This window comes from Homo sapiens, chromosome 2 (genome assembly GCF_000001405.40).
Source record: "Homo sapiens chromosome 2, GRCh38.p14 Primary Assembly".
NCBI classification, from domain to species: Eukaryota; Metazoa; Chordata; class Mammalia; order Primates; family Hominidae; genus Homo; species Homo sapiens.
Window position 1 is genome coordinate 188732801 of NC_000002.12, and position 27736 is coordinate 188760536.

General features: G+C 33.5%; 2 long non-coding RNA genes across 2 annotated transcripts in view; one reads left to right on the top strand and one right to left on the bottom strand.

The window, feature by feature from the left end:
- LOC105373790 (uncharacterized) overlaps window positions 1-27097 on the top strand; it is a 104710-nt gene extending 77613 nt beyond the window's left edge. Inside the window, exons 3-4 of the long non-coding RNA XR_923685.3 lie at window positions 5792-5873; window positions 17732-27097. This is a non-coding gene — a long non-coding RNA (uncharacterized LOC105373790). The remainder of the gene's footprint in view (window positions 1-5791; window positions 5874-17731) is intronic.
- The window catches only part of DIRC1 (disrupted in renal carcinoma 1), a 56386-nt gene continuing 29587 nt past the window's right edge, over window positions 938-27736 (bottom strand). The window contains exon 2 of the long non-coding RNA NR_161166.1: window positions 938-2149. This is a non-coding gene — a long non-coding RNA (disrupted in renal carcinoma 1). The remainder of the gene's footprint in view (window positions 2150-27736) is intronic.

Genomic DNA, 27736 nt, shown 5'->3' on the forward strand with positions numbered 1-27736 from the left:
ATGCTGCCTCCCCAGGTAGATTTTTGAGACCCAAGCTATGTTGTACCCATTTTTCTTCCTCTATGATTCATAGCAAAATGCATGAAACATAGCAGATACATAATAAATGCTTGCTAACATGCATGTAGGAGTAATGAAAGTACATATTGGAATTTAAACATAGAAATTGAAGGATATTGGATAAAAAAATATTTGATAACAAATGCTGCATTAGGAGTTATTTTAGGAATGACTTAAACTAGGTCTCTGTTCTTCGGAGTTAATTCCTCAGACAATAAGCATATGTATTCCAAATGTTTCTGTTTTGCTTCAGTAACAAGAAAATCACAAGTGTAACTATCAACATATTATCCAGAATAACATTTTTATGTCATCTAAATGGAGGATGGAAAATGTTTTTGCAAAGGAATTCAATCCAGAAATTATTTATTAAAACCCAACTGTGTGTGTATATGTATGTGTGTAAAACAACACCAGGTAGGGATAATAATGGAAAATAAATTTAAGATCTAGAATCTCCAATCAAGCAATGAACACCCTAGATAATTAATGTTCTTAACAAACTTTTTAAAATCAAATTTTCTTACTAAAAATCAAATTTTCTTACTAAAAATCTGGCCAATTTATGTTTTTAGTTCAATAATTTGAACATTGCTTTCAAATTGTTTTCTGACACCTTTACTAGCAATTGATATTATCCATCTTTTTCTTCAAATTTCATTAATATAGGGAATGAAAAATTGTTTCTGTTTTAATGTGCATTTTCCTAATTATTAGTGAGGGTGTGTGTCTTCTAAATGATTACTGGCCACTCCTATGTATTGGCTGTTAACTATCTATTTATATATTGGCTTCTTTACATTGAGTTTTTTACGTTTAGGAGTGAAATTTTAGATCTTTTAAAATGTATTTTATGTGTAAACCCTTTAGTATATGTGCATTAGTCTGTTTTCACACTCTATAAAGATCTACCTGAGACTGGATAATTTATGAATAAAAAAGGCTTAATTGACTCACAATTCCACAGGCTTAATAAGAAGCATGACTGGGAGGCCTCAGGAAACTTACAATCATGGCAGAAGGGGAAGCAAGGAACTTCACATGGTGACTGGAGAGAAAGTGCAAGAGGGGAGGTGCACACACTTTTAATCCATCAGATATTGTGAGAACTCACTCACTATCATGAGAACAGCAAGGGGGAAATCCGCTCCTATGATCCAATCACCTCCCACCAGGCCCCTCCTCCAATTTGCCATAAGATTTGGGCAGGGACACAAATCCAAACCGTATCAATATGTATTGCAAATATTTACCCAACCTTTTCACTTGTTTTTTAATTTGCTCTACAGCATATATTGTCACACAGATATTTTTATTTTAATGCAGGCTAACGTAACTACCTTGTTTCTTGAATTTACATTTTGAGGGTTACTTGATATTGTCTTCAGTTCTACAAATCAAAATTATGATTACATTCCTCAGTTATACATATAACATGATATAGGTTTTTAAAAGTAAATGTTTTGGTCTTACTGAAATTTCTTTTTATTTTGTTTATATTTTAGTGTAGAGATTTAACTTTATATTTTTTCCTAGATGAAAGTCAGTCAAATATTTCAACATGATTTAATGTCTTTTCCAGTTTTTCTCTGAAAGAAATTCAGAACAGTTAAGGAGTACATTATGGAATGGACTTATCTAAGAATCAAGGAAAATCGTTATTGAATGAAGGGAAAAAAACACAACCTCTTTTGAGTATGAGTACAAACGAATAAAGGGAGATGAGCAGCAGCAGGGCATTGTAATTAGGTAAGGCTTAGTTGGTTTAATATTTTCCACCCCCTCAATGAGTTAAGACACTTTAGCCTCACAGTATTCAATTCAGACCTAGAAGAAAGTTGATCCTTTGTTATTGGTTTATAAAAGCATGTGTCTGAGATGATGGAAGGCTCCAATGTTGCAGCAGCAGAAGAACAATTTTGAGCATTCTGGACCTCTATACACATGGGGTGGGCATTGCTGAGTGGTGGCAAGTAACAGGAAACAGGCTTCTTGCTTCCGTGGTCTGTGGTGGGCAGTGATGTTTGCAGTTTTGCAGGCTGCATGTGGGCCTCAGGCATTTGTCAGGGTGGGTGGTCGGGCTGTTTCTCTGCATGAGTCAGAAGAAGGAAGAGACCCAGCTGAGTATACGAAATAAATTCATTCCATTTGATTTCTCTGTTACAAGAATACTATAACTATTAGCTAATGTTAAAATTGATGTCTACCAGGGATTATGCTAAAATTTACAAGTATATATTTGGCTAAGGTCTCTGAAAGAGGGATGAGTAGATTGAGATCAAAGAATAAGCAAAATAAGATATATTCTGTAAATGAAACTGTAATAACTTTTATTCACTATATGAATGCTATTTACCTCCCCGACAACATATAGAATATCTTCTTCAGAGAATAAATTGCTTCTAAGCCATCGTAGAAATTTTCCGTTTTTTTTCAAAACTTCAGATTACAAAATATTTCTATTTACATAATATGGTTTTTGATGAATTGCTGAAATTTCTCACTTCAACTTTTTGGGTTGTTTAATATTAAGTGTAAGAAACTACTTAGGAAATTTAAACATTATTTACTACATGATAAGAAAAAGATATAGTTCGATGTATTTCAAAATTTTTATTTCATAGATAATGTATCATCATAGATGTATCATATCACCACCCTTAAGCTTTGCACCTGGGTTGGCTGAAATCTGAAATCCCAAGTCTAATTTAATATAAGTTTTTATTTTAGTCTTCTCAGGCACAGTCTTGAATCATTAAGTTGTCTTCATTTGCATTAGCAATAGTTATGAATCCAATTTCGCACCATGAGTGACTTTTAACTTCATCCTTACTGATATAAATATCACAGTGTACTAGGGATGGAAGAGAAGCCTGCAGTAGAATCAAATACAGGAGAAAACAACCTATAATGCCCCTGGGTATTTGCAAACTTGGAGTATTTGAGAAGAAATAAATTGTTTTAGTGCATCTTCTCCAGCTTTCTTGATAAAAAAAAAACTGGCAAATTGAGGCACACAAAGGATAAGTGAGTTGGCTGATAAGGCAAAGCTAATTTGTTCAGAGCTGGGACAAGCCCCTAGTCCCCTGAATTCCAGTGTTTCAGGATTCTTTTCTGATGTTTAACTACCTGCCTAGATGTAACATATTCCAATATTTGAATTTAAATAACGTCGTATTATTGACACTCTTAATTCTAGACAATATTTTAGGGTGAAGTGTGTAAGTTCTGGAGAAATATGATATATTTCAAATCCTGACTATTGTTTCCTAATTGTATGACTCTGGCAAGTTACTTAACCTCTCTAGATGTCTATTTCTTCCATTGGCAAAAATAGGACTCCTAATTATTAATGTTATATCTACCACAAAATCCATCATAGGGCTCAAATAGGGTAATCCCTCTAAAGCACTTATATTAGCACTCAACACGTATTGCTCAAGACGAACGTTGCTGATTATTATTTTCATCACAGTCTCAAACTTTGCTATTAAGTGTTACTGTTCCTTATCACATATTATTTTGAACTATATTTACTTTATCTCATATATAATGCTTTCTGATGGATAATCCGACCCATTCTGGAAATTAGCATATACCCCAGTCAGATGGATGCTTAAGGGTTGAGGTGTCTTCCTTTGAAAATTATAATTTAATATAAGTTGTTTCATATACATTATTAAGAGAGACATTTAGCCTACTTTAATTATTCTGCAAATACTTATTAGCTTGCCTTTCAGTGAAAGAGACTATCATTTGCATATGTAACAATCTGAAATAAAATTATAGGATATATGTGCACCACACCTGCATTTGGAAGCATGGTATATATGTGTAAGGAATTGTATATCTTTGGAAGCCTGTCACTTAGCTTAATTTAGTTTTTCCAATTTTTAAATATTTTTCATTAATTAGTTGTGATTTCTCTATACATTATACCTCTTTTGTAACTGTGGGAATGTCTAAGTATATTTCTGAAATTTATATTTTAACAATTTGGCTCATAATTACACTTGTCTTTGCCAAGTACTGTGGTAGATGCTAGAGATAAAATTAAGGAGAAATGATTCCTCAAAATGCTTATACACCTCCTAGTTTATTTATATTGTGTTAGAGAACAAATGCTTATATTTTGAAATGTTAAAAAGGCACAGCATAAGGAAAGAGATAATCAAAATTGATAATCTGAATGGTTTGGGATTTTGTGTTTTCTATCTGGTAAAGTTGACCTCATTTACATGCGAATTCCTATATTTTGCACATGAAACTGAAGGTAGAGAGTCAGAATAAAGAGGTAACATGGTTATCCATCTGGTTTCTGCAGTCAGACTTATCTGGGTTCATTCAATCCTTATTCATCATGCATTTGGACAAACTAGGCAAATTAGCTAACTCATTCAAATCTTACTGCTGACATAATAAGAGTACGCAACGAATTGTTATATGGATTAAATAAAAAGTGATAATTCATTAAAAGGTTTTAGTCCAGTATCTGGCATATGGTAGGTACCCAATAAACATTAATTATAATTTCATGGGTATGAAATTTTGGCATAGATATCCATCACCAATTAAAGATACAGTGTTTCTTTCATACCTTAATTTTTGTTCCTTTGTGTACTCCTCTAATCCCTAGTAAAAAAAGACTAGACGGTCTTATAAAAATAAGAATCTTTTAAGTGGCCTCCCACAAAACTTATTACATTCTTGACAAATACTTCCTTTTCAGGATTGACATAAATTCATGAAAATTACCCTAAACAACTGGATAGTACACAATAAAACAGTGACCTTTTGAACTTACATTCTTAATTCCTAATTACAAAAATTCTCTTGTTTCTAAGAATAAAGTCAATGCAGTTATTGTTTTTTATAATATGGTTGTTAATTTTATAAAATATTTTCCAAATTCTCTTACGGTATATAATAAAAGGAACTGTGTCTATTTTTGTAAGTTCGAAGTCAGATAGGACTTTTTGCCAGTGACACAAAATAGAATGCCATTATGTTTAACAACACGCAGCCCATTATTCAAGGAAGAGCATAAAGGATCAAAAACCCTACTGGATTAGAAATGCTGAATATCATCCTCTAAATGTTGACTGCTCAAAATCTGATTTAAAACCATACTATCTAAGCCTGACAATGGTGAGCTGGCTCAAGAATTAACTAAATAATGTGCCATGGGAAGGAAGTAATGTTCTGTCTGTCCAAAAATTCCTTCTCTAACGTTAACAAAGCAATATAAAGCTCATGCCATGAGAGAAAACAATTTTGATTATTATTTATTAATTTGATATGCGTTCAGTTGTCCAACATGGTAAACTCATTTTCACTCTTGCCCTTTGAAATATGAGGGTTTAATGAAAGCATCCACATAATTCTAAATTACATGATGATAAAAACATTTTTCTTCTTAGCCAACAGTGTGTTCTTTGATTTAGAAACAGTGGACCGTTAAGACTGGAGTAGATAAAGTGGATTAGGTCAAGGAAGGGGATGGAAAGGAAACATGAATTGAACAACAAAGTAATGTAATGTATCCTTTTAAAATTATCTTGAAAAAATAAATGTAATTTTGAATATTTATCACAGGTATGGATTTTATTTTTATTATATTTCAAAGAGATACTTAGTAGTAATAACTGGATATCCAAAGCCTTCTTTTATATCTACTTTTTTTTTTTTTTTGGTTTTGTAAATGTATCCTGCAGACTTTTTCTTTTTACAGGTTTGCCACATGGGTATATTACCTAAGGCTGCAGTTTAGGCTTCTAATATACCCGTCACCCAAGTTGTGAACATAGTACCCGGTAAGTACTTTATCAATTCTTCCTCCCTCCCACCTTTTGGAATACCCAGTGTTTATTGTTCTCATCTTTTTGTCTGTGTGTACACAATGTTCAGTTTCCATTTCTAAGTAAGAAGGTGTGGTATTTGATTTTCTGCTTCTGCATTAATTTGCTTACGTAGAATAGTTGAATTATTCAATGATATAAAAATATTAATATTAAAATTATACATAGAGAGGAAAGGTCTAAAATTAAGAATCAAAATCTCCACATTAATAAGATAGAAATGGAAGAAAAAATATATTTAAATTAGGCATAAAAAGGAAATAATAAAGATAAGAGAACTAGAAAAAATGGCAAATAAAGAAAAATAATAAAGCTAAAAGTCAAGTTGTGAAAAAGTTTAATAAAATTAATTATCTCTTCCCTAGACTGATCAAGAAAAGGGAGAAGTACATGCAAATATCCAATGTAATATATGAAAGATAAGAGTACTTCCCAACTCTTGAGACTAATTTTCATAGACAACCTGATAAAAGTGTTATGAGAGAAGGAAAGGGTAAAATGATACTTTTCAGAAACACAGATATGCAAATTCTGAATCCAATAATAGCAGATTAAATCAATAAATATTTTAAAAATATGATACTTTATGATCATAAGGATTTATCCCAGGGATTCAAAGGTAAACATTTGAAAATTAATACATAAAATACATGATGTTAACAGAAAATTGACAAAAAGTGTATGATCATCTAAAAACATGCAGAAAAAGATTTTGACAAAATCCAAAAGCCATTCAAGATTTAAAACTTTCAGCAAATCACAGACAGAAAAGCAGTTCTACAATGAAACCAAAACTCAAGGAAAACTTATAGCTAATGTGATAGCTATAGCGTAGCTATATAATAGCATTAATTGTAGTACTGAATGCATTCTTTCACAATCAGAAGAAAGGCAAATGTATCCATCACACCATTTTCATTCAAATAATATTAATTTCTCAATCTGTCTTTGAACTGTGTTACCTGGAAACAACATTTGGGAGAGGCTCAGGGACTCTAGGTGGAGAAAGATGTGAAGAGGCTGAGTGTGTGAGCTCCAGGAAACACTTCCAAAATTTGATCAGAGAGATCTTGCCTCTATCTGTTTTATATATTGGATGCTATTTAATAATTAGTTTTAAACAGAAAAGTTTTAATTAAAAAATGTTGGAATTTTGTTGCTAGGAATACTCTCTTAAATATCTCAAATTCTGAGATTTTGTGTTAGAGATAATGATCACTAAGTAGAACCTGTAGGAAGTGACAAGTTTCTGACAATAATCTATATGGAAATTTTATTTTGTATTTTCTAAAAATATTTAGTTATTACCTCTGTAACAAGAAAAATTACTTATTTAAAAATGTAGTATTTCTGAAATTTGGAGGCATTTTGCCTGCCACAAGTGAGGTCACTTGTGATACACTTGTTTTTATGTAAACTAGGCAAACATAGTGACAGATAAAATACATATTCATCTGACAGTCACCACACTTATTTACATGGATAGCACCGCATGAGATTAAATCTGATTTCAATTTGGATACCAAATTTGTAGTTCAGATGCCTGCAAATATTATAGCAGTGAGGTAAAAAATGTCTGTATACTATACCTATTTATTTTCACATGACAGAAAATGAAAATACAACTAAATTTCTTGAAATAGTTCATAAGATGTTCTTAGCTATGTAGTCTACAATGGATAACTCAATCATTCCAAAGTCAAGAACAGATCAAGTCCTTTTTCTGTCAAAAGTTACCTGTTGACCTTTAAGAGAAGCCATTATACTTCTGGAAACATACAATTTAATAAAAGGGGAAAAAGTTTGTTAATTCAACCAAATTCAAAATTCTGATAAAACATTGACATTCTTCAATATAACTCAAAATTACAAAGATAATTCTAAATATGATAAAAAGATCAAGATTACAAAAACAAAAAATACAAAATAGGCCACTGTGATATTCAAAAGTAATTCAGAACACACTTTAGCTTTTGAAAGTTCAGAAGGCTCAGTTACAGACTTCTACCTGAGTCTGCAAAAGTAGGAGATATAACTGTGGCAACCATGAAGACACTCCTCTCCTATCTCAGATCTCCACTGCAGGAAGCATAACTGACCAATGACCCGTGGTCCCACATGCTACAGTTTGAGATCCATCATTGAATGTGCACAGAGGCCACAGTTCCCAGGTACCCTCTCAACCAATGATGGTGTAAGGCAGAGACCAAATCCAGGCACTTTTCTCCCAGGCCACTTTGACTTGAAGACCCCTCATTGGTTTTGCTGAAACTTTCTTTATTAGTAGTAGCAGTAGTATACTTTAAGTTCTGGGATGCATGTACACAATATGCAGGTTTGTTACATAGGTATACATGTGCCATGGTGGTTTGCTGCATCCATCAACTCATCTGCATTAGGTATTTCTCCTAATGCTATCCCTTCCCTAGACCCCACCCCTCAACAGGCCCCAGTGTATGATGTTCCCCTCCCTGTGTCCATGTTTTCTCATTATTCAACTCCCACTTATGAGTGAGAACATGCGGTGTTTGGTTTCCTGTTCCTGTGTTAGTTTGCTGAGAATGATGGTTTCCAGCTTCATCCATGTCCCTGCAAAGGACATGAACTCATCTTTCTTTTTTTGGCTGCATAGTATTCCATGGTGTATCTGTGCCACATTTTCATTTTCTTTATCTGGTCTATTATTGATGGGCATTTGGGTTGGTTCCAAGTCTTTGCTATCGTGAACAGTGCTGCAATAAACATATGTGTGCACCTGTCTTTATAGCAGAATGATTTATAATCTCTTGGGTATATATTCAGTAATGAGATTGCTGGGTCAAATGGTATTTCTGGTTGTAGATCCTTGAGGAATCGCTACACTGTCTTCCACGATGGCTGAACTAATTTACACTCCCACTAACATTGTAAAAGTATTCCTATTTCTCCACGTCCTCTCCAGCATCTATCGTTTCCTGACTTTTTAATGATCACCATTCTAACTGATGTGAGATGGTATCTCATTGTGGTTTTGATTTGCATTTCTCTAATGACCAGTGATGATGAGCTTTTTATCATGTTTGTTGGCCACATAAATGTCTTCCTTTGAGAAGTGTCTGTTCATATCCTTTGCCCACTTTTTGATGGGTTTGTTTGTTTCTTGTAAATTTTTTTATGTTCCTTGTAGATTCTGGATATTAGCCCTTTGTCAGATGGATAGATTGCAAAAAATTTCTCCCATTCTGTAGGTTGCCTGTTCACTCTGATGATAGTTTCTTTTGCTGGGCAGAAGCTCTTTAGTTTAACTAGATCCCATTTGTCAATTTTGGCTTTTGTTGCCATTGCTTTTGGTGTTTTAACCATGAAACCTTTGCCCATGCCTATGTCCTGAATGGTATTGCCTAGATTTTCTTCCAGGGTTTTTATGGTTTTAGGTCTTACGTTTAAGTTCTTAATCCATCTTGAGTTAATTTTTTGTATAAGGTGTAGTTTCAGTTTTCTGTAGGTCCAGTTTCAGTTTTCTGCATATGGCTAGCCAGTTTTCCCAACACCATTTATTAAATAGGGAATACTTTCCTTTCCTCCTAAACTTTCTTTTCTTCTCTCCTCCACGAGGATTGAACCTACTTTGTGTTCTGAAAACTCTCCTCTCCTTTTCTGTCCCCAATAACATTTTTCTTCACAATTGTTTTCCCAGTAAATCTCTTATGTGTTTAATCCCTACAGCAGATCTGCTTCTCAAATAATCCAAATTAAGATAGTAACCTAAAATTCTGTTGGCAAAAGTTTCCTTTTGCTTGTAAGTCAGTTAAAAATGCAATATATAAATAATTTCCAGAAAAACCTGTAACTACATTAGTATATATCTTATAACTTATAGCATCTTAGAACTGAGAAGTTACAGTAATGGTTGTAGTTTGTTGAAAATTTGTTGAATGTTATTTTGTCCTTTGAAATTTTTGTGATGTGAGCATAAGCCCTGTAACCCATTTTGTGTGAAGTCAAATGTGTTGCTCATGATTTCTCCAAAGTGCCTTGGGCTTACATTTGAATGACCATTGCTAGCTCTCAATTACCGCTTCCTCTGCATTCTTGATTTCATTTTTATCTCTTCTTGCATGAAAGAATTTTCTCATGTCTTCTTTTGAAATATAGGACTCAGCTACTTTGACTTACTTTGAAAATGCTCATGGACACACACACACACTCCCACACACAGACCCATAAAGCACTTATATATGTATAATAGAGTTTACAAAAGGTTCAAGAAATCAGAGAGAGAGATTATAAAGAATTAGAATTTACCTGAATATTAGATAAATCTATTTTAAAAGTCTTTGGTCAACCAGAAACCAGGTTTTTACTAATCTACTTTGTCTTTAGGTTCTATCCTTCTGCTATGATGCCCACATTTGTTTGTTTGTGTATCTCTTTCTCCATCTTCCTCCTCTCCTTTCCCTAGTTTCCTCCTACCCTCAAATTTGTATTTATTTCTTAGATACTTAAGCCATTTCTTTACTGACTCTTGCCAATTCATACATTCAGATCTCTCTCTTCTAGAATAGTCAGCAATTCATACAGTAATGCTATCTAATAACCTCAAATTTGTAATAAATCATAACAACAAGATATATATTTCTCATTCATAGGTCTCTGGGTTATAGTTCAGTTCATCTTATATGGGTTTGCCTGGGCTTACTTATACTACAGATTGTGATTCTTAGCAGCAGCTATAAAGGGCAGGTTCTTTCCTTAGTGGATAGTGGAGAATCAAGAGGTTAATAAATACCATTTTACCCAGCAATCCCATTACTGGGTATATACCCAAAGGATTATAAATCATTCTACTATAAAGATACATGCACTCTTATGTTTATCGCAGCACTGTTCACAAGAGCAAAGACTTGGAACCAACCCAAATGCCCATCAATGATAGACTGGATAAAGAAAATATGGCACATATACACCATGGAATACTATGCAGCCATAAAAAATGAGTTCATATCCTTTGCAGGGATGTGGATAAAGCTGGAAACCATCATTCTCAGCAAACTAACACAGGAACAGAAAAACCAAACACCACATATTCTCACTCGTAAGTGGGAGTTGAACAATGAGAACACATGGACACAGGGAGGGGAACATCACAACAGGGCCTGTTGAGGGGTGTGGGGATAGGGGAGGGATAGCATTAGGAGAAATACCTAATGTAGATAACAAGTTGATGGATGCAGCAAACCACCATGGCACGTGTATACCTATGTAACAAACCTGCACTTTCTGCACATGTTTCCCAGAACTTAAGGTATGATATAATAAAAAAAGTAAGTGAATATAAAGCCTTGCTTTGTGTCATATTTGCTAATATTCATTTGGCTGAAGCAGCTTATAAGACCAAGCCAAACCAAAATCAACAATGTAGGTAAATATTTTTTACCTATAATGGGAGGTACTGTAGTCACATGGCAAAGTATACTTATGTATAATTCCTTAGAAGGGAGGAACAATGAGTATACAAAGTATACTTGTGTATATTTCCTTAGAAAGGAGGAACAATGACAAAAAATTGTGAAAAATTCTTCCAAGTAAGTATTATTACATGAGTCAATATTCCAAAATACATAAAGAAAACTAATGTTAAAATGGATAGAAAATGAAATCAACAGTTGCTAGATAAGTTCACTCCAAATAAAATAAAAATGATTAAATAATCTGAAAAAAATTGATTGTATAATAAATATATTTATAACTCTTAAAAAGATAAGTAAAAGCCATATGCAGAGAATAAAAGTTTCAAGAACAAGTAGAATTAACACCTGTAGAAGCAAGTAGGAGCCCTGGAAATGGAAACTAGAATCATTGAAAGTAACAACGACACTAATTAATCAACTCAGAGATAGTATTGAGGAATTCTCCCAGGACACAGCATAGAGAGATGCAAGGGTAAAATACATCATAAAACAGTCTGAGAAATGGAGCATAGGTTTGGAAGTGTCAGTATAAGTCTATGAGGAGTTCCAGAAGAAAATAGCAAAGAGCAGAACAATTTTTGGAGAATGGGTGGGATATTTTACAGAATTAAAGACATGTAACCTCAGTTTGAAAGTGATAATTGAAAGTACAAAGCAAGATATAAATGATAAAGAAGTAAATACCCATAGCTAAATGCTTCGTGAATGAAAACATTAGAGATGATGAGAGAAAACAATTACCAACAAAAGAACTGTCGATCCAGACTCTGACATCCAATTAATCTACCATCCAAACATGAAGATAATATAAATAGATACACAAAGATAAAGTTGGGAACAATAGACACCGAGGACTATTACTGGAGAGAGAGAGACAGGCAGCATGGTTTGAAAAACTACCTATTGGATACAATCAATGCTCACTACCTGGGTGACAGAATCCATACCCCAAACCTCAGAATCACATAAAATACCCATGTAATGAACCTGCACATGGATTCTCTGAACCTAAAATAAAAGTTGAAGAAAAAAAAGATGAAGAGAATTTTATGATCCATAGCCCACACTGTAAGAACTTTTATAGAAATAAGCAATTTCATATCATTTGTCAAATTAAAAGTGATTTGCCATTTGCTATTTTATTCAAATTCTCAACAATCAGAACCAGTGTTATTTATATAATCTTCAACAAAGTAAAATTGAAGTTGCAGGAATGACAGGTAACATGCTCAAATTCATACAATAGTACCAGACTCTAACGCAGAGTTTCTTAAATTAATCCTCACTCTATTTCTAATACATAAATAATTACCCACTTACAGAACATTTGGTCCCCCAGATAAAAGGAGTGATTCTAGAATTATAATACAAACCAGGGATTTTGATGCTAAGCATAAGTTCTGCAAATATAAGTTACTGTACATCACATACAATCAGATAAAAATCAGCATCTAACCTTTTTCCTGGTATGTTTATGTAGAGAACACTAAAAGAATCTTCTGATTTTATGAGAATTATTTTCTGAGGATTTGGCATGGCTGTGTGTAGAGTCTGTGTGCAACTATTATTGTATTTACTTATTGTCATTTATTTTGTTTACTTCATTAATGGAGTCAACTATCAATGGACAGCTGCAATGATTATTGGAAAGTCTCTTGTTTTCCTTGCTGGCACAGTAGAGGCATCTTTCAATTCACATCTTACCCTTGACTAACTGATAAAAAAGGATTTACCTATCATTTAAAACAAATAAATAGAAACCAGAGAATTTGTTTTCTTAGGACCATAATACTGTAGATGTCTCAGTCTTTTCAGAAGACAGAATGGAAACTCATTTTCTGAGTTTTGCATAAGGTCATACTACATTTATCTTTCAGGTATTTATTTTCCGGGCAATAATAGAGTTACATAATTGGCCCCATGCTTTAAAATAATCAATTACTCTGACCTCATGCGAAGCATATGGAATATGGTTAGTGGATGCCAGTCATTGCTATCATAAAATATAATAACTCTATTCCCCAAAGCACAAGAGAATTAACCACTGGTTGTTTTGGGGTGTGGCATAAACTATTCACTAATATTTTTGGCCTTGACTACACCTCTGAGACAGGTGCACTAAAATCTAAACCATTCCCATAGCTGGTACGTGTTACTCAGACTACATGTAGTAACTGAGAACTGTGTCATCATGGGGAGGAAAACTAATTATTTCCAGTACCCTCACCCAAGTTTAAGAGTGTGCAAAAACATACCTGCTAGATTTTAATAGGGCTGGTGTTTTCAAAGCTCTCTGTGGTTATGTGATCATGTCTATAAAAGAATATAAAATTTATTGAAGTTGGTAAAGTTACAAACCTACAAAATGAAAGGAATGAGATTCAATGACTTAACATTGACATATTTCAGAAGCAGTTTCCAACCAATGAAAATGGAATTTGTGATTTTAAAACTTTAATACACATTTGGGAAGAAGACTGAATATAATTTATATCCTTCCACTGCTGGTTATTATGGAACCTACAGGGCAGGACTGTGGAAGTGGGTATGTCTAGAATAAGAAGAAAAATACTGATAGAATCCAGGTGTGAGTATAGATTTAGAGCCAGATAACTCTTAAATTCCTAATTAGTGGCCAAGGAGTCAGACAGCCAGGAAGATTGTGGCAAAGTAAAGAATATTGAAATCAACTCTAGAAATAGTAACTAAGCAGTCTTGTTCATGGAAGAGGTCTTATGTGTTCTACAGAGTATGACTCATGGGCAGGCCACAAGGTGAAATAATCAAAACAATAAAAGCAATAGCTAACAGATAATGACTTTTCCTATGTACTAGATACATATCTCATTTACTGTTCTAAACTGATGATTAGGAGGCTATATTTAAATCCCTTTTAACTCATGCCCTTTCAACCTCACCATGCCTCACTCCACCTACTGAGTCTGGTCTCATCTCCCCTACATGCCCATTCTCCTCTGTTTCTATGAAGATCTGCTTTTTGTATACTATAATTTGTGTTTTTTGTTTGTGTGTGTGTTTGTTTGAGACAGGGTCTCACTCTGTCACCCAGGATTGAGTGCAGTGGTGGGATCTCTATCTCGGCTCACTGCAGCCTCTGCCTCAGGGGCTCGATTTGTTATTTTGCTATCCATCTCTATAACATCTAATGCATGTTTCTTTATTCTATCAAACAACACACTTCCCTCTAAGTTTGAACAACAAGTCAAATACATGAAACTTTACTGACTTGCTCCATCTAGCTTTAAATTAGGGGGCAAGATGTCCTTTTAAGTGTTGATCATCAAGTAATTTATTCTGAATATATAAACCCACAAATTTCAGGGCCTTTATTTTAAATAATATCCTCTTCGTAGATATGCATTATTTATTTACTCTGCTATCAGTCACTAAGTGTACTCTACGTTCTTTGTTGAGTTTAGTAAATATCAGTAATTTTAACATTATTTCTTAAAATAGTGTTACTTTCCAAATTAAGTGTTAAAGCTGGAACTTCTTAGAAAGATGCACACCACCCTTTCATGGCCTTTCTCTGCAACTTCATCTCCCAGTAACCTTGCCTTACAAACTATGTTTTAGCCAAATAATTCCCCAATGACAATTGGCTGTTCCATGACACTATGTGTTGCTCATATGTTGTCGTCTTGCTTTTTCACTTTACTAATGACTGATTCTTTCAGACACGCTCAGAGTTGTGTTGATTATCTCTCTTCTGCGGACTCCTTAAGCATAGTATTTGCATATACACACACAATATCTTAGTAAAATTACCTATTTTTGTGTCAGTTTCCTCCAGAGTCATTCTAGCTCTCCAAAGTGAGACACAGATTCTTATGCAACCCTCTATTTCTAGTGCTTGTTCAGTGTCCATGACATGGCACACTCTAAACTAAATAGAGCTCATGTCTCCTATCTCCCTATTACCTCACATTTACTCGTATGATGCAATGAAGATGCACACTGATAGTTTTTTATTTTTAATTTTAGACTATTTCAATCTGTTTCAATTATGTTGTTTTCACGTGCAAGTAACAGAAAGTTCAATTAAATCTTTAAAGAAAGGTCTGTGCCAGTTCATATGAAACTACAAATGCAGAAATAGGTTTTGAAGAATTACTTAATCAGAGTTCCAGCTCAATTTCTAAGTGATTCTGTTCTTTGGCCATAAGTTACTATTCACAAGGTGGGTAAGATGACTACAGCAATTCTAGATATCACCCATACATATTACACTGCTCAGGAAAACAGAGAGAAATGGCATGTCTTCTCCATCCTAGGGACGGGTGGATTTATGCTCCTGTGGTTCACAGCTGAAGCTAATGGTAGACACAGCGTCAGGAATTAATTAAAACCAGGAATCTTAAGTTTAGCACTGTCTAATATGTGATTATCTGTTTAGAATAATATTTTTTACTTTTTGAGATAATTAAATTAAAAACCAAGTTTTATTCTATATCGCACCATTCTTAGAATTCCTCTTAGGTCAGGAAAAGAAATAAAAGAGTTATTGTTAAAAAATATGTTTACACAAAGTTGTTTGTGTTAACACTTAAAATGTTCCAAAAATATTTCATTTTTAAAACTCAAGTAAATCTCCAGGGGATTCCTCAAACTTCAGAATGAAACAAAACAGACAAACAAACAAACATACTATAACTCTTGGGCATATACATATTAAGAGTACAAAAGAAATATTCTTGAAAAATAAAAAAGGCATTATATATTATAATGAACTAGATATTTCAGTACAAGGCTTCTCACTAAAAACATGACTAAAAACAATAGGTAAAATTACCAGTTTTTTACAACATTCTATGAAACAGTCTAAATAAAATTACAGTAATAAGATTAAATATTGAAGAATTTAACCAAGATGAAAAAAGTAATCATTTTATAGGAATCTATGCTCACAATAATTTATATATTTCAAATAAAATTTAATTTTCATATATGACTCTTTCTTTTTTTAAGAGGGACATTTCACAGCACATTTTATAACCACTTTATCTTCATGTTGGGAGTGTGCTATACATATTAAATCTTTTGGAAGTGAAGTAACTATGATCTTCTGGCCAAGGAGAGACCAGATTTCTTTTGAACTTTACAAGCAAGAGTCCTTTTTTTAGTATTCGAACACTTCAAGCTCTGCACTGTTCATTAGTGCATTTATAAAATTTTTTATAATTTATAAAATGCTCACAGACTCTTCTAACACTTCTTAAACTGTCCCTGTGGCTCAAATATCTACAGCGTAAAATCCATACTACTTATGGGTCCATATTACTGATGGATCTTACCTACATCTACTTTAGCAATTGAATCTCACCTCATGCTTTCCCTGCTTACTCTTTTGAAGTTTTTTTTTTTAACTATTTTCTGCAATATCATCTTTATAAAATACTTCTAGGGGTTTGTGCCAACCGTTCTTCCAGTATTTATTACCTCTCTCCTCTTCACTGTTTGGTAAACAGTTTTCCTTTAAGAAATCAGGTCAAACGTAACCTATCTGAAATATCCCTAAACAATTTCCTATTAAAATTTCCTCTATGGTATCATAGAATTAGCTTTATATGTCCAGCAATTCAAAGGGCATGAACAATAGAATGTATTTAACCAATGATTATTGAATTAACAAATCTATTAATCTTGTAAATTTATTTCAAAAATGTAGAAACAAATGTCAGCTTTATGCCTCTATGTTGTTTTTGTGATTTTAAAAAATTATCTGTGAAGATGGAAAATAGTAGACTAACATTTATGATTACAAAGAAAAAATATTGTTGTAATATTAAATTATATTTTAATCTTAAGTTCCTATCCTATAAACTTAACATGGATTTTAAAACATTTTCTGAAACTTATCTCTGGTAAAACATTAAAGACCTGTAAAACTCAAATATCTCTTATGAATTTCTGAGAGTCCTTGAAAATTGCCTACTGCTATAGTCTAAATGTGTCCCTCTAAAATTCACGTTGAAACCTTATCCCCATGGCAGGGTATTAAGAAGTGGAGCATTTTGAGAAGTGATTCATGTATCATGAGCAGAGCCCTCAGGAATGGAATCAGTACCTTTATAAAAGTGGGTGAAGGGCGCTGCCTGCTCCTCCTGCCATGTGAGGCACAGTGTTTGCCCATTTTGCCATGTGAGGACACAGCTAGAGGTGCTGTCTATGAGGAATAGAGACTTTGCCAGGTGGAGAATCTGCTGGGGCCTTGATCTTGGGCTTCACAGCCTTCAGAACTGTTAAAAACAAATTTCTGTTGTTCATAAATTATTCAGTTTAGGGTTTTTTGTTACAGCAGCTCAAACACACTAAGACACCTACCCAATTTCTTTTCTACAGATTCTGCTTGATGTGGAAAAGTGTCCAGGTAAAGATAGCAAATTTCTTATTTCTCTCTTGTTTCTGAGGATTGTCTTATTTCTGATACCAAAGGAAAAACAACGAGGATTTCTGGGTAAATTTTTGCTTTTCTGTTATAGATACTCTATATTGTTTGCTTCTTTTTACTGCTGAAATCTGGTCATGAGTTGGAGGTGAAGAGGTACCATTAAGATTCTAATAATGAAAGTTGCATGTAAAAAAATGGTTGGTTATAAGTTTCTGATCTTCAATGACAACCTAAGATAGCTACAGCAGTCCTGGCCTGACTAGTGTTAGGACTGGTCAGAAATTCCTTTTGAAATTTTTAAATACTTTTATTGTGCTATAATTCATGTATCAATTCTCCCATTTAAAGTATGAAGTTCAATGGTTTTTAGTGTGTTCACAGATAACATGCAACCATAACCAAAGTCAGTTTTAGAATTTTTTCATGAGCTCAAAAGGAAAACCTGTGCCCTTTGCCTATTACTCTCTATACCCTGCTATCCCTAAGACACCACTAATGTATTTTTGTCTCTGTAGATTTTCCTACTCTGGACTTTTATGAATGAAACCATTTGATACATGGTGTTTTGTGATAGACTTCTTTGATTTAGCAAAATGTTTCCAGGTTGATCGATGTGGTATCATGTACCAGTACTTCATTTTCTTATGGCTGAAAAAATATCCCATTGTATTGATATGCCATAGTTTGTTTATCCGTTTATCAGTTGATGGGCATTTGCACTGTTTCCACCTTTTGGCTATTGTAAGTAATGCTGCTATAAATATTTATGTACAATTTTTGTGTGGATTTGTGTTTTCATTTTCCTTGGGTAAATACCTAGAAGTGGAATTGCTGAGTTATGTAGTAATTATATGTTTAATTTATTGGGAAATTTCCAGATTATGTCTTGGAATTAGCTAAACTTCTACAAAAGAAAGTTTCATAAGTTTATGACACTTTAAGATAATGGCTTGTTGTGTCTTCCCTTTATGTTTTGAAAATTCTACCCAATCTTTGCTCGCTGTAATATATGTAATGAACTGTTACATCGATTTGCAACACAAATCATCATGAAAGTATGAATAATTTATATTATATGTTTCATTATACTACTTTCAAAAGGAATCCATTGTATAACAACTTAAAAATTTAGAAAGAAAGCAATCAGGCATTATAAATACAACTCTAAAATATTTACTCCCTGGTCTCCTTAAACTGTGTACCTTTCTATATTGATATACATTAATAACAAAGCTTGATTATTAAACATCGTTTCAGAAAATGTTAGTTGAATAAGAGAAATCATATATATTTAAATTTACTTCTCATTGGCTGGTAAAACGAGATATTGAAATGTGGGGCAGTGAGAAGTAACAAAATGAAAGCAGTTTTGTGTGAGTAATCTTTGAACAATTGAGTCACATTTGGCATAGACCCACTGAAGGGACTGTTTTAGAAATGTACTCTGTCTGTGATTTTATGGCCAGTCCTTAAGGTATAGAATATATTCCATATTACTTATTGTCATAGTGTGCCAAGCTAATAAATTAAAAATTATTAATGTTGAAACTTAAAAAAATGAAAAGATCTTTGCCAAGTTGAGAGAAGTGGATTTGGACTTGCCCAAGCACTAAGAAGCAGAAACATTTATTATGTGCTTCCATCACTTTGTGTGAGGGATACGTGGTGGTATGGATATAGGCTGTAACTTATAACAGATGCCAAAGTAGAAATAGATTTGGAATTTATAAAAATCTTACATTTAAAGGAAATATTTTGCTGGTTGTATTGTATCAGCAATTTAAATATATTTCCTAATACCGTTGTAAGGAGGAATATTTTGAAAGTGCTTAATTCATGAAAAAAAATATGTTAACAAAATGGATATAAATTCTATTTATGGCCAGGAGTCTGCTTTGGGGAACCCCACCCTCACTCACAGCCCAGACTGAGATCCATTAAGGAACCTGACCTGCAGGGGCTTGTGTTTCTGCTACTTCCCCATGGACTAAAGGATAGTGCTGTTCACTGTAGTAAGACAAATATATTTCCTGTTAATTTTTTTTACTGTAAATAAGATGGCTTTTCTTAAATGTAAATAGGGATGTTTCATTTATTTAAATAAAATTTTAGAAATTGGCATTGGATAAAAAAGAAAGGTTTTGCAAATGTGAGAGATAAGGAATTTCACAAAATCGAATCACTAGGTCCAGCAGTTTCTAAGCCAGAAATATGCAACATCTTCTATGTAACTTTTCTAACTACCCATACCCAAATGACACAAATTGATTTTATTTCTTAATTGTATATTGAGTTTACCATCCAATCTAAGGCAGACACTATTTGTCACCTATGTTACTGTTGTATGTGTAACATATATTGATAAGGAAGAGAGATTATATGAGTTACAATTAGGTTTTTCTCAGTATTATTTCTCCATGTCCCCAGCTTTCCTCCACAACAAATATTCACAAAATTTTCTTTTGTATCTTTCAAAAATACCCCACGGAAATACAAATCAAGTTATGCACATGAAAGCATATTGATACGTGTTTACGTTGTTTATACAGGTTGTAGCGTATTTTCTACAATGTTCTCCAATTTGTATATTTCACTTAAAAATATATATTAGAGATAATTTCATGACAGTTCTTATAGAACCAATATTTGGTTTAATGGTAGCGTAGTATTCTTCTGTATAAACCTAATGGCCAGGCGTGGTGGCTTATGCCTGTAATCCCAGCACTTTGGGAGGCCCAGGCGGGCGGATCACGAGGTAAGGAGATCGAGACCATCCTGGCCAACATGGCGAAATACCGCCTCTACTAAAAATACAAAAATTAGCCAGGTGTGGTCGTGGGCACCTGTAATCCCAACTACTTGGGAGGCTGAGGCAGGAGAATTACTTGAACCCAGGAGGCGGAGGTTGCAGTGAGCTGAGATCGCGCCACTTCACTCCAGCCTGGACGACAGGGTGAGACTCCGTCTAAAAAAAAATAAAACAAACAAACAAAAACAAAACAAAACCTAACACATTTGGTACATTATACAATAGGAAGTTCTTGCTACATTTTACATATACATTATACAATGAATATCCCTTATTAATGAATATATATTTCCAATTTTTTGGTTATTATAAATAAACATGTTCCAACGTATATTCATATTCATACAATTTTGGACACTCGGAGAGTAAAATAAATTCTTGGAAATGGTTGTATATCTTTTACTCTTTGATTTATATTGGCAAAATGCTCTCCACAGAGGCTCTGTCAATTTGCCCTCCCACCAAAAATGTCCGAAGTTGTCTGTTTTTCTTCCTCCTTGTGAATAGAATATGTAACCAATTTGTAAATCTCTATCGATGTGATTGGTGAAAAACAACTTAGTCTAATTTTCCATTTCCCTTATTGTAGGTTAGATTATGTATATTTTCACAAGTTTAAAAGCCCTTTGTTTTTCTTTTTATGTGTACTATTTATGTCGTTTTGCCCATTTATAATTGGGTCTTGTTGATTTTTAGGAACATTTAAATATAAATTAAAATCTGGTCTTTTTTGGATATAGATGCTTGTTTGGACTTTTTTTTTTTAAAGGCTCTATTCCAATCATTTTATAATTTGTATGGAGTCATATTTATACCTTTTGATCTGTTAGAACTGTGTAACTTTCCTTCTCCTTAGTCTCTGCCGGCACCCAGCCCAATGCTCAGCCATAGAAGACACTACATGAATTTTAAAAATTGAAAAAAATTGTTTAATTAAACTGTGAAGATTTTTTGAAATACAAAAATCTAATTTATTTGTACTTAGTATCTATTAGATTATAAACTTTTTGAAGGAAGAATTTATTCTTTAGTCTTATTTCCTATTTTTCAAATAAAAGTATAGATTGAAGTTTGGATGAAAGCATGAACAAGTTTGTGGAAGGCAGACATTTTTAAATGTTGAAATTTAAATTCGATTTTTAATAACGATGTTGTCCATGTTTCATAAATAGAAGTTATTTAAATAATTTTAGTTTCATTCAAAAAATAGTTGAAATGACTTCTACCATCTCACAAAAGAACTAAGTTACCACTTACGGTGAAAATTCATGAATTGAACAGATCAGATTAGATTTACTATTGACGGTTGAATTAAAACAGTTTAGTTGATATTAAATAATTATTTCAAATAATTAGCATATGTTGAAGACCACTTAATACCCTATCATGTTTTCCAAAATTTTAGGATTTAGAAAGCCATTTATGCTGCACTTAAACATCAAAACAAATTTTGCCATTAAAAAAAACAAAGCATCTCATCATCCATAAGCTGAGTTAAGGATACCAACAGTGAATCCCACATATGAAAGAGATTCAAATATTTGCTAAATTACTCATATTTTTATTAATTATTTTCCTTTTTAAAATTTATCAACCCACTTATCAACAATAGCCATTCTGACTGGTGTGAAATGGTATCTCATTGTGGTTTTGATTTGCATTTCTCTAATAATTAGTGATGTTGAGTATTTATTCATATGCTTTTGGCAGTATGTCTACTTTTGAAATGTTTTTATTCATGTTCTTTGACCATTTTTTTAAATGAGGTTGTTTGTTTTTTGCTTGTTGATTTGTTTATGTTCCTTATAAATTCTGTATATTAGGGCTTTGTCAGAGGCATGTTTTGCAAATGTTTTCTCCCATTCTGTACATTGTCAGTTTACTCTGTTGATAGTTTTGCTTGCTTGCTTTGTTTGTTTTGCTTTATAGAAGCTCTTTAGTTTAAATAGGTCCCACTTGTCTATTTTTGGTTTTGTTGTAATAGCTTTTGGAAACTTCATCATGAAATCTTTGCCAAGGCCTAGGTCTGGATTGGTATTTCCTAGATTTTCTTCTAGAGTTTTTATCGTTTTAGATATTATATTTAAGTTGTTAATCCCTCTTGAGTTGATTTTTGTGTGTGCTGAAAGGAAGGGGTCTAGTTTCAATCCTCTGCATATGGCTAGCCAGCTATACCAGAGCCATTTATTGAGCAAGGAGTTCTTTCCCCATTGGTTGTTATTGTTGACTTTGTCAAAAATCAGATGGTTGTAGGTGTTTAGCTTTATTTCTGGGTTCTCTAACCTGTTCCATTGGTCTGTATGTCTGTTTTTGCACCAGTACACTGCAATTTTTGTTACTGTAGCTTCGTAGTATAGTTTAAAGTCAGGTGGTATGATGCCTCTGGCTTTGTTTTTTTTTTTCTTCAGATTACATTGGCTACCTGGACTCTTCTGTGGTTCCATATGGATTTTATAATAGTTTCTTCTAATTCTATGAAAAATGATATTGGTAGTTTGATAAGAACAGCATTGAATCTGTAAACTGCTTTGGGCAGTGTGACCATTTTAAAAATATTGATTCCTCCTATCCATGGGCATGACATGTTTTTTCATTTGTCTGTGTCATGTCTGATTTCTTTCAGCAGTGTTTTGTAATTCTCACTGTAGAAATTTTTCACTACCCTGGTTAGCTGTATTCCTAGGTATTTTATCTTATTTTTGGCTATTGTGAATGGGATTGAGTTATTGATTTGGCTTGATTTGATTCTCAGTTTGGACAGTATTGTAGTATAGAAATGCTACTGATTTCTATACATTACTTTTGTATCCTGAAACTTTACAGAACGTGTTTATCAGGTCTAGGAGCCTTTGGTCAGAGACTGTGGGGTTTTCTAAGTATAGAATCATATTATCAATTATGGAGATAGTTTGACTTCCTCTCTTTCTATTTGAATGGCTTTTATTGGTTTGTCTTGCCTGATTGCTCTGGCCAGGATTTCCAGTACTATGTTGAATAGGAGTGGTGGGAGTGGGCATTTTTGTCTTGTTGCAGTTCACAAGTGGCATACTTCCAGCTTTTGCCCATTCAGTATGCTGTTGGCTGTGGGCTTGTCATAAATGGCTCTTATTATTTTTAGGTATGTTCCTTCAATGCCTAGTTTGCTGAGGGTGTTTAATATGAAGGATGTTGAATTTTATTGAAAGCCCTTTCTGCATCCATTGAGATGATCATGTATGTTTTGTTTTTTGTTCTGTTTATATGAGTTACATTTATTAATATTAATTTGCATATATTGAACCAACCTTGCATTCCAGGAATAAAGTCTATTTAATCATGGTGTTAGATTTTTGATGTGCTTTTAATCATGATTAATAAAGTCTATTTAATCATGAGTTTAACTTTTCAATTTGCTAGTATTTTGTTAAGGAGTTTTGTGTCTATAATGTTTGTTTATGCCTAAAGTTTTCTTTTTTCATTGTGTCTCTGCTAGGTTTTGGTATCAGGATGATACCGGCATCATACAACGTGTTAGGGAGGAGACCCTGCTCCTCGATTTTTTGGGATGATTTCAGCAAGATTTGTACTAGTTGTGAATCCATTTGGTACAGAGTTTTTTCTAGTTTATAGGGTTTTTTTTTTAATTACTGATTCCATTTAGAACTCATTATGGTCTATTTAGGTATTCAGTTTCTCCCTGGTTCAATCTTGGGAGGTTAAAGGTTTCCAGGAATTTATCCATTTCTTCTAGTGCTTCTAGTTTCTGTGCACATAAATGTTTGTAATAGACTCTGAGGGTTTTTTTTTTTTTTTTGTATTTTTGTGGGCTTGGTGGTAATGTCATCTTTGTCATTTCAGATTGTGTATATTGGGATACTATCTTTTTATTACTCTGGCTACTATCTATCAATCTTATTTATTCTTTCAAAAAACCATTTTTCCATGAATTTTCACATCTCAATTTTGTTCCATTCAGCTCCGATTTTGGTTATTTCTTTTCTTCTGCTAGCTTTGGGACTGGTTCACTCTTGTTTTCCTAATTCCTCTAGATGTGATGTTAGTTGTTAATTTGAGATCTTTCTAACTTTTTGATCTAAGCATTTAGGACCATAAATGTTTGTCTTAACACTGCTTTAATTGAGTCTGCAAGATACTGGTATGCTGTATTTTTATTTTTAGTAGTTTCAAATAATTTCTTGATTTCTCAAATGTCTATGGGGATCATGGGGTCTCCTGCAGCTGGGATTCTGGAAATCCATTGGTGAGAGTGAGTCACTCCACACCTATTTCACTTACTCCTTCCTTGGGAGCCACTTGGGCCAAGAAATGAGTCCTGGTGCTTGGAAACCCCATGTGTTTTTTCCAGCTTTCTACTCTTCCAGCCCTGGGTCTGCATCCTTCCTCTTTCCACACTCAATGCCATCTTTCTGAAAATCTGTTTGGAGTGTGCCAGTCTACTGATGATCTGGTCTTTCTAGGTGAGAAAAGCTCTTCTTGGCTGTGCCTATTCAGCCATCTTGGCTCTTCCTAAATTTGGATAATCTACAAATCACAGATTTTTTGAACTAATCTAAGATTCTGAGGCTACTGGACAATCAGTCTTAAGTCTAAGGAAACATGGGTGCTTTCCAAGAGAGATAGGACATGAGCACTGGTTCATCTGCACAAAAGTATAAAGGAAAGACACATAGGGTACAAGCAAATTGGTAAAAAAAAAAAAAAAAAAAAAAGCTAAATATTTTAACACATTTCTAAATGTTAATTGTTGTTTAGTATGAAAGTACAGAATTGTAGCCACAGACACAAAGAAAGATTGCACCTAATCTTTTGTCCATGTACCTCTCCAGGTGCTTACAAGAAAGGTTTAGGATACCAGAGACAGCTCCTGCTTAATGCAAGCATTGGGGAGAAATTTACCAACCACTGTGAGAAAGGCACAATGAACTTGTGTATCATTATTGCCTTTTTGGCACAAAGTCCCAACTAGATCATTCTTGTCTGTCTACACATTGAAAAAAAAAAGCCTTGCACCACTGAAAGAGGGACACAATATATTATATCTTTCAGGAAATACATGGAAATCCATTGTAGTGTGGGAAAATAAAGAGAAAAAAAGCACTTGATGTTGGGACAAAGTAGGACATTAGAAGTCCTCTACCACAGTGGAGGCAGGATCACTGAAAAAGACCTAAGACCTGGGAATATAGGGTTTGCCTAAGACTGATGCTAAAGCAGAACAAGAGAAAAGCCTCTCCATTCCCCAGCACCATACTACCAAGTAATGTGTGTTAAGTAATATCAGTCTACTGCTGAAAGAGAGGCAACAACACAGAGAGAGGTCTTCTCTGATTAGTAAGGCTATAAAAAAATATAGAACTAAAGACAGAACAGAATCGTTGAGGAAATCTCCCTGAAACTAAGGTCCTGTCATAAGCTCAAAGAAAAGCTAGAAAACATTTAAACCAATGGTGTCCCCAAATCATTGCAACAGCAAAACCTAAATCTTGCTCAAACCCTGACTAGATTAACTCAATCTGCCAGGCTAAAAGTCTAGCATAAAGAGACATGTTCATTTCACACATAAGCAATATTTATTTTCATCTATATTGTCTCAGACACAATGTCCAGTATCTATCAAAAAATTACAGAACAATGAAGTGAGAAAAACAATATGCTGGCAAGATATATTGGAATCAATAAAACCAGGTCCATATATGATCCAAATATGGAACTATGGAACTATGAAACAGAAAATTTAAAATAACTAAAATTACTGTATTTAAAAACTTTTTTTAAAAAAAGTGGATAGCATGCACATACTAGAGTTGAGAAAAAAATTATAAAAACAGATTTTATTTATTTATTTATTTATTTTGAGATGGAGTTTCGCTCTTGTTGCTGAGGCTGGAGTACAATGGCACGATCTCGGGTCACCACAACCTCTACCTCCCAGGTTCAAACGATTCTCCTGCCTCAGTCTCCCAAGTAGCTGAGATTACAGGCATGCGCCACCAAGCCTGGCTAATTTTGTATTTTTAGTAGAGATGGGGTTTCTCCATGTTGGTCAGGCTGGTCTCAAACTCACAACCTCAAGTGATCTGCTCACCTCAGCCTCCCAAAGTGCTGGGATTACAGGCGTGAGCCACTGTGCCTGGCCAAAAACAGATTTTAAATTTCATCAGAATGATGAAAACTGTAAGGAAGAAAGAGAAATGATGGATATATGAAACATAGTAGTTGAAATAAGAAAAATGCCTTTGACAAAGAAAGAAGAATTGGTAAATATGAAGATAGTTCAATAGAAAGAAACTAGGCTAAATCACAAAGAGCAAAAAGAAAAGACTAATGCATGCAAGACCTTAGGGACGACATTAATCAGTCTAACATAGGTGTAATAGGAGTCACAAAAGAAGAAGAGAAGCAAAACATGGAAGGGAAATACTGTAAGTTAGTGGCTGAGAATTTTTCAAAAAATAATGAAAGATGTGAAACCACAGATCAAAGAAATTCATAGAGAACCAAGCAGAATAAACTGACTAGCTATTTAACTAAATAAATAAATCACCTAAAATAGCATATGAAAAATGCTAAAAACTAAAGGTAAAAAGGAAATCTTGAAGGAATCCAGAAAAAAATAACATATTTAAATACAGAATAATATATATTTTACGTATCTGTATATATATATGTATATATATATATATATATATATATATATATGTCTATGAATGATAGCAGACTTCTCAAGACTGCATTCAAAATTACAGAAACCAGAGGAAGTGACATGTTTAAAATGCCAAACAGACCAGAAAAGGTCAACCCAGAATACTTTACCAAGTATAAATAACTTTCAAAAATAAAAGAGAAGGCTTGTTTCAAACAAACAGACAGGAGATAATTTATAACAATAAACACCTACAACAAAAATATTAAAAGAAGTTCTTCAGGCAAAATTAATATCATAGCAGATAAAAACTTGTATCCACACAACTGACTGAGGAGCAATGGGAGTTTTATGTATAAATAAAAGTACATATAATACAAAGAAAATTAATTTTCTTTCTTATTTTAATTGTTCTATTGACTAATGAATAATGAAGCTTAATGAGAGCTTCAACATATTCAGCTCACAGTTGGACTCTGTTTCAAACCTGAAATGTAGTTATTC